This window comes from Homo sapiens, chromosome 14 (genome assembly GCF_000001405.40).
Source record: "Homo sapiens chromosome 14, GRCh38.p14 Primary Assembly".
NCBI lineage: Eukaryota > Metazoa > Chordata > Mammalia > Primates > Hominidae > Homo > Homo sapiens.
This window is the reverse complement of record NC_000014.9, coordinates 70819346-70827405: the sequence shown is the minus strand read 5'-3', so window position 1 is coordinate 70827405 and position 8060 is coordinate 70819346. Positions and strand designations below refer to the sequence as shown.

Genomic DNA, 8060 nt, shown 5'->3' with positions numbered 1-8060 from the left:
AGCCCACCAGAGCTATCTTTAGCAAAAGCTGGCCCTTGGTGGGATATTGTTTACAGCAGGCAGGGACAGATGGGAACCAAGGCCTGAATGACAGGGAGCCTCTTGTTTTCATTCCTCTCTGAACGTCTACATGCTTTCTCTGGATGCAGTTTGGGTTTTTTTTTTCTTTTCTTTTTTTTTTTTGAGACGGAGTTTTACTCTTGTTGCCCAGGCTGGAGTGTAGTGGCATGATCTCAGCTCACTGAAACCTCCACCTTCCAGGGTTCAAGAGATTCTCCTGCCTCAGCCTCCCGAGTAGCTGGAATCACAGGTGCCCGCTACCATGCCTGGCTAATTTTTTGTGTTTTTAGTACAGATGGGGTTTCACCATGTTGTCCAGGCTGGTCTTGAACTCCTGACCTCAGGAGATCCACCCGCCTCAGCCTCCCAAAGTGCTGGGATTACAGGCGTGGGCCACCGTGCCTGGCCCAATTTGGTATTTTTAAATTTTCAGTCCACCTAGTCAGAAAATAGCTTTCTAAGCCTCCAGTGTTTGTATTTCCTCTGCTCAAGAGCCCAGAGTGACTGAGACTGAGCCACCTTCATTCCCATTCCTGGGGTCTGCACCTGGCTCAATCAACCAAAATGGCACCTGAGGAGGTGTTATCATGTGGATTTGGCAATCCACTGTTATCATGTGGATTTGGCTATAGGAGCAGTTCTTGGGAAAAAGGGGAGATTCAGGCAAACAACCCAATTGGTATCTCCCGCAAAGCCAAATAATAATTACTACTTGCTTACATTTGCATAGTGCTTTAAGGATACTTGTTATCCATGATCTCATTTGATTCTTGGCACAACCTTATGAGGTAGGCAAAACAGGTATTAATATTCTTACTTCACATCTACTTTATTTCACCTTGCTGTGGGTCTGTTTTTAAAAATTCCTATCTCGGCTGGGCACGGTGGCTCATGCCTGTAATCCCAGCACTTTGGGAGGCTGAGGCGGGCAGATCACGAGGTCAAGAGATCGAGACCGTCCTGGCCAACATGGTGAAACCCTGTCTCTACTAAAAATACAAAAATTAGCTGGGTGTGGTGGCATGCATCTGTAGTCCCAGCTACTCAGGAGGCTGAGGCAGGAGAATTGCTTGAACCTGGGAGGCAGAAGTTGCAGTGAGCCCAGATTGTGCCATTGCACTCCAGCCTGGCGACAGAGCAAGACCCTGTCTCAAAAAAAAAAAAAAAAAAAATTGTATCTCTTCTATTTGCCTTTACATTTATTGAGGGCGTAGATTATATCTTTTTACCTTTGCACTTAGATCTCTAGCACCTAGCTCTGGGCTCTGTACATGATGGGCATTTAATTGATATTTCTTTTCTTTTTCTTTTTTTTTTTTTTTGAGATGGAGTCTCACTCTATTGCCCAGGCTGGAGTGCAGTGGCACGATCTTGGCTCACTGCAACCTCCGCCTCCAGGGTTCAAGCCATTCTCCCGCCTCAGCCTCCCTTAGTTGATATTTCTTAAATTGAATTTCTGTTTTCCAGATGAGAAAACTGAGGTCCAGGCTGGGCGAGGTAGCTCACGCCTGTAATCTCAACACTTTGGGAGGCCAAGGAGGGAGGACCACTTGAGCTCAGGACTTTGGGACCAGCCTGGGCAACATTTGTGAAATCTTGTGTCTACTAAAAAAAAAAAAAAAAAAAAAAAAAGCTGGGCATAGTGATGCATGCCTCTAGTCCCAGCTACTTGGGAGGCTAAGCCAAGAGGATACCTTGGGCCTGGGAGATTGAGGCTGCAGTGATCAGTGATCATGCCACTGCACTCCAGCCTGGGTGACAGAGAGAAATTGTCAGAGAAAGAAAGAAAGAAAGAAAGAAAGAAAGAAAGAAAGAAAGAAAGAAAGAAAGAAAGAAAGAAAGAAAGAAAGAAAGAAAGAAAGAAAGAAAGAAAGAAAGAAAGGAAGGAAGGAAGAAAGAGAAAGAAAGAAAGAAAGAAAGAGAGAAAGAAAGAGAGAGAGAAAGAGAGAAAGAAAAAAGAAAGAAAGAAAGAAAGAAAGAAAGAAAGAAAGAAAGAAAGAAAGAGAAAGAAAGAAAGAAAGAAAGAGGAAGACAGAAAAAAACCTGAGGTCCAGAATGCTGAGTGGCTTGCTTTGGGACACACAACTCTAGGGACAGGAACCTAATGATCCGCAACCAGTTATCATCCCTCTATGTATCCAGTGGATGATTCATAACAACAGAGATAAGCCTTTGGAACCCCAGTTATATGGTGGCTTAGACTAGGTTCACACCTGAGAGGTCTCCAGCAGCTCAGAAAGACCATGCTGTAAGACAAAGCACCCAGGCTCTGAGGTTAGAAGCCTGAAGTCTGGTGGCCTCCAGGAAAACAATCTCAGCCCTCCAAGAAGGGTCCTTGCCAGAGGAGTTGGACAAGCACCTAAGGAAGGCAGGTTATTAAAACCTGAATTTTCTCAGGAGCTGACTCAACTTTCTTAGCTGCCTCACATTTGAGTTTGATGGGAGAGAAAGGAGAAAGAAGCTGAGGTAGACACTGCCTTTGTGAGAAGCTTCCCATCACCTGGCAGAAGGCAGTCAGGGACAGCTGCAAGCTAGAGCTTATGGTCTCTGAAGTGGGCAAGATCATACAGCTCCACCACTTACAAAATGACCTGGACAAGCCACTTCAGCTGTGTTCATTCTCCCAGAGTTGTGTGAGGGTTAAATGAGAAAATCTAAGTCATTTGTCATTACATAGGATTATCATCTCTTTTCATTCAAGGTAGGAAAAGCAAGAATTGTGCCAGGCAACGATGAAGAAGGCAAAGTCCCTTTCCTCAAAGACTGATGGTCAAGGGAGGGGAGTAAATGGCAGAGTAAAGTGGTGAGGGATCTAAGTGTGGGTCGATCCTGTGGGAACCCACAGAGGAAGCATCCCCTGTATCCTCAGGATAGTCAGGAAAGGCTCCCCAGAGTGTGGACCTTTTTTTTTTTTTTTTTTTTTTTTGAGATGGTGTCTCACTATGTCACCCAGGCTGGAGTGCAGTGGCATGATCTCAGCTCACTGCAGTCTTGATCTCCTGGGCTCAAGCAATCCTCCCACCTCAGCCTCCCAAGTAGTTGGGACTACAGGCGTGCACCACCATGCCCAACTAATTTTTTTTTTTTTTTTTTTTGTAGAGCTGGGGTTTTGCCATATTGCCTATGCTGGTCTCAGAACTCCTTGGGCTCAAGTGATTCACTTGCCTCGGCCTCCCAAAGTGCAGGGATTACAGGCATGAGCCACTGCACCCGGTCGGAGCTAGGTCTTAAAGGATAGGTAAGACTTCATCAGGCAGGAGAAGCTGTGTTTGCAGGAAATGGTGGGATTATGGCAGGGTGACTACGAGGACATGGAATTATAATATGGCTGAGGGTGACAGAACTATCATCAGACGCCGTCTTGTGTCATCAGACTCCTTGTATTTATGCTGCAGAGGCCACACTTGGCAGGCTGATTTCAGGGGCATCAATCAAGAAGTCTCTGTGAAGTCACAGGCTTTCAAGATTCTTCTTCCCTTGCTTGCTGGGAGTGGCTGTTCCTCTGTTCACCTCCATTTCTTCAGAGCTGGAAGAGATGTGAGAATGATCTGGTGCAATCCCCTGCACCATGGTTGGTATGGATGGGTATCCCCATGTTATAAATGAGGCAACCGCGGCCGAGAGAAGCTGCAGCCAGTCCTTGGGGACGCGGCACCCAGGACTGCTTCTCCTAGAATTCAAGATGCTTCTTTTCTTTCCTCCCTTTTAGGTTTCAAATCTCTATTTCAGGCAATACTTGATATATTATGTATTTATAATTCAAGTTTTCAGACTTTTCTTAGCAGCAGGTTATAAAAAGGAGAGAAGCAGAAGCTGAGACAGGGAGGAAGCAAACAGAATGGGGCAGAGGTGGGAGTGGGAGGCTGAAGGCTTCCAGGAAGATAAGCTTCCTCGACTGTTAGTGGATTCCGCATCTGCGGCAATTCTACCCCCATCCGGACTAGAGGCTTTGGGACTACTGAGAACCAGGACCACCTATTTTCACAGCAAATGCCTGGAAGGAACCCAGGTGTCACATGTTGAGGGTTTATCAGAATAAATGGCTGTTATTTTCTTTTCCTCTTCCCTTTCCTTCTCACCTACCCTTATTAGTGATCTAGTGTCATAGCTGCAGAGTGACAGCAGGGAGACAGGAGTGAGCGGAGAGTGTGGGACAGAGGGGAAGAAAGAGAAACAGGCCATACGCAGACCTACAGGCAGCTCCTGAGCTACCCAGATCGCTTCTCCTGTACAGGAAGAGCTGCTGGCCCGAGGGAAGGGAAGAGGGGGTCCCTGTTGGAGCAACTGGAGTGGCAGGAGGCGAGTGGGTCGAGGGAGAGTTATTAATATGCACTAGAACACATATTTACAACTGGTGGCTTAAATTAAGGGCAGCACATTCACACCTAGCTACTCCCAGGCTTCCCACAAAGACATCTGAAGCGTGCAAAGCGCGCTCCCTGAGCCCAGCCCACCAAGGGGCGCGGCCCGCCTTGGTAGGGACAAGGTCTCTGGCGCTGGCCTGAGCGGCTGCGGGAGTTCGCTCCTGGGAGAGCGCAGCGAAACCGAGGGCATCCTTCCCTGTAAGAGGAGGGGGCGGAGGAAGGGAGGAGGGGAGGAAGGAAGGAGGGGAGGAGGGGAGGAGGAGAGGAGGAGGGAAGAAGGAAAGTGGGGGTGAAGGGAAGGAGGAAAGGAGGCGGGGAGGGAGAGACGGAGGAAGAGAGGGTGGGAAGAAGGAAGGAGAGAGAGAGGGCGAAGAGGGGAGAGAGGGGCGAACGAGAGAGATGTGGGGAGAGGGGAGAGGAGAGGGACGGGGCAGGGGAGGGGAGAGCGAGGGAAGAGAGAAAAAGAGAGAACGCAAGGGGGTCGGGGAGAAGAGAGAGGAGAGCGAGAGAGAGCGGGAGGAGAGGGGGAGGGAGAGAGACGGGGGAGAGCGAGACAGAGCGTGGGGAGACGGGGAGAGGGGAGAGCGAGAGAGCCAGGGGAGACGAGGAGCGAGCGAGAGGAGAGGGGAAGAGAGAGAGAAGGGGGAAAGCAAGAGAGTGGGGGGAAAGCGAGAGAGAGAGAGGGGAGAGACAGAGGGCGGGGGAGAGCGAGCGCGAGCGAGGGGAGGGGAGAGAGAGAGGCGCGCGCTGGTTGCTCCCGCGAAACCCTAAGCTCCGCCAGCGCTATTGCCCCTCCCGCTGCCAGCCCCGCGTCCACGTGGGGAAACTGTCCCTCCTGTGCCGGGAAGAAACGACTCACCGCCTTGCAGAGGCGCGGAAGCTGTGCGCGGGACGCCACGGCCCCGAAGCCGCGAGTGACCGCAGCTCCGATCCCCCGGCGGGAGGCCTGCCCGAGCGTGGGAGCCGAGCCCAGGGCCCTTTCTCCGCACTGGCTGCGGACCTAACCCTTCCTGGGCCCCTCCTCCCCCTGGGGAGAGAACGTCAGCGCCGAGGATCCTGATGCGGGGGCGCGGTGGCGCCGACCGAGAGCCCGCCCGGTCCCCGTGTTGGGGGGCAGAAGGGGAGGGGTGGGCCGCAAGGGGCGGAGAGGGCCCGGCGTCCCAGCTGGGATGGAGTTACCAGAATGGGGTTCGAGGCAGCCTAACCCTCCGCGCTGAGTCCTGGAAGGCAGCCTCTGTATGTAGCTCGGTGCATTTTGCACGAAGATAGGCTGCTCCCGGCGGGGTAGGGGGTCGGGGAAAGGTCCTCCTGGGGGTAAACTGATCAGAGAGCCGATAATGGATTCTGGCTCCGACACACGCCACCCCTGCTTGCTTAGTGGCTCTGCACCCCACTTTTTATATAAAGTGGTTATTCAAAGTACCTAGCACATAGGTTTTTTGGTGAATATTGAATGGGAAGGGCAGGTGAAGTCCTTGGCACAGGCCCGGCACACCGACCGATGGACCCAAGAATGTCAATTATTTTTGCTGTTATTCCCTCCAACCTCAGCTGTCCTTTCTCAGAAGCAAAGCTAGGAGACACCAGAAGAGCCGGTGCGAAAGTTTGGCTTGTTTTAACATAAAACCCACACTCCCTAAGGAAGTGGATTCTGAGTGGGAAAAGCTTTGGAGTCAGAAGCAGGAACCCCTGATTGGGTCTTGGGCTTCTGTTCCTTAGTACTGTTCCTTAGTACTTAGCCACACTGAATAAACTCCCTGGGCTTCCGTTTCCTTATTAGTAAAATTGGCTAAAAAGTCCCAACCAGGTAGTACGATCCCTTCTGCCTTTATTGAGGGCTCACTATGTTCTAGGCACTGCTCTTAGGGCTGCCTCCGTATTATCTCAGTTAATCTCTAAGCTAGTTTAGGAGGTAGTTAGGATTATTTAAAATCTCCATTTTGCACTTGAAGAAACCAAGACTTAACAGAGAGGCTAAGTAAATTGTCCTAGACCACACAGTGAGTCATGGCAGAACTGGACAGAACTGAGATTCAACTCAGGCAACCTGGTTCCAGAGTCTGTATTTTTTTTTTAATAGACAAGGTCTTACTCCCTCTCCCAGGCTGAAGTGCAGTGGCGCAGTGGTGCCATAGCTCACTGTAACCTTGAATTCCTGGTAGCTGGGACCACAGGTGTGCACCACTATATCTGGCAAAGTTTTTAATTTTTTGTAGAGACAGGGAGGGACTCACTTTGTGGCCCAGGTTGGTCTTGAACTTCTGTCCTCAAGTGATCCTCCGGTTTTGCCTCCCAAAGCATTGGGATTATAGGCATGGGTCACTGTGCCTGGCCTCAGAGTCTGTATGTACTCTTAGTCAGTATACTGGCACCTGTCTGTAAAAGTGTTTTCTGAACTCTAAAATAGTATATAAATGTTGGCTGTGATTACAGTGAGTGGTACAGTTGGTAGGTCGGTGGCTTCGTCTTCGTATACTAATGGAGGGTATGTCTATCAGTGCCCAACCTACTGCCTAGTACTCAATAAGCTGTCAGTCACTCTGCCATCCCTTGCCCACATCCCAGGAAGGAGTGTACCCATGCAAAAGAATGGCAATTCCATCATGTACAGAGCTGGGGAAGAGGGCAGACTATAAGATAACGAAGAGACATCATGAAGCTGCAAGCAATTGCACCTGACCTGGGTATCAACAAAACCCCAGGAAGCAAAGATGGGAAGGCTTCAGGTTGGAATCTCCCCTACTTTTCATAAAACACAAAGCACAAGAGAGTTTCCCTGATGTTCCACCGGCCAAGCAGGCTTCTCTCTGGGGCTCCCACTGACTTCACAAAGGGCTCCATCCAGTAACCCAGAGAACAGGCAACTGTCTTAAAGGTCTCATCAGTGTCAGGAGACTCATGTCTCATGTCTGTGAGCAAAAGATTCACAGCCTTCAACTAGGAAAGGAATAGCCACTTAAAAGGTCTCCTTGAGTAGAAATCTGGAAAACCACGTTAAAGGAGAAAGTATTTTATTATTTGAGTCTGAATGTTTTCTAATCATTATTGCGCCCTTAGTCATTTTATAGAGTTAAGGTTCTCAGGGACTAGACTGTTGTCATTTAACAGTTCTTGAATGAACTCCAGATGATGTAATCAACTGCCCACTTGACATCTCCACTTGGGTATAGAACAGTGATCTCAAACTTATCATGTCTAACATTAAACTGGTGAGATTTGCCCCCAAACCAGCTTTTCCCACATTCTCCGTTAATGGCAACGCCAGCCTTCCAGTTGCTCAAACCAAAAACCTTGATGTCATCCTTGACTCCTCTCTTTCTTTTATTCCCTTTCTGATTCATCAGCAAACCTGGTTGGTCTACCCTCAAAATGTATTTCTAAATTCTGGCCACTTTTGACCATACCCATTGTCACCTCCCTTTTCTAATTTGCTGTTATCCCTTGACAGGCTTACTGAATAGTCCCTTCCTCTCACAGTCCCCGCACTTGCTTTCTGAAGCCTGTTGCAAACCCAGTAGCCAGAGTGATCTTGTTGAAAAGGCAGACCACACCACTCCTCTGCTCATTGAAATCATCGGTGTGGCAGGGCATGGTAGCTCACGTCTGTAATCCCAGTACTTTGGGAGGCCACAGCAG

The 8060-nt window shown here is 49.4% G+C and overlaps 1 long non-coding RNA gene across 1 annotated transcript, besides 1 other annotated feature; it reads right to left on the bottom strand.

The window, feature by feature from the left end:
• Positions 1-3421: 3421 nt before the first annotated feature.
• LOC124903341 (uncharacterized) lies at positions 3422-5533 on the bottom strand. The gene is made up of 2 exons (XR_007064246.1): positions 5284-5533; positions 3422-3586 (listed from the first exon to the last, which is right to left on the bottom strand). It is a non-coding gene; the product is annotated as an uncharacterized LOC124903341 (long non-coding RNA).
• Positions 5414-5613: a silencer, noted in NCBI's record as "silent region_5892". NCBI's record gives its function as "represses an Ori minimal core promoter by ATAC-STARR-seq in GM12878 lymphoblastoid cells {active_cell/tissue: GM12878}" and the evidence as "EXISTENCE:reporter gene assay evidence [ECO:0000049][PMID:35858748]".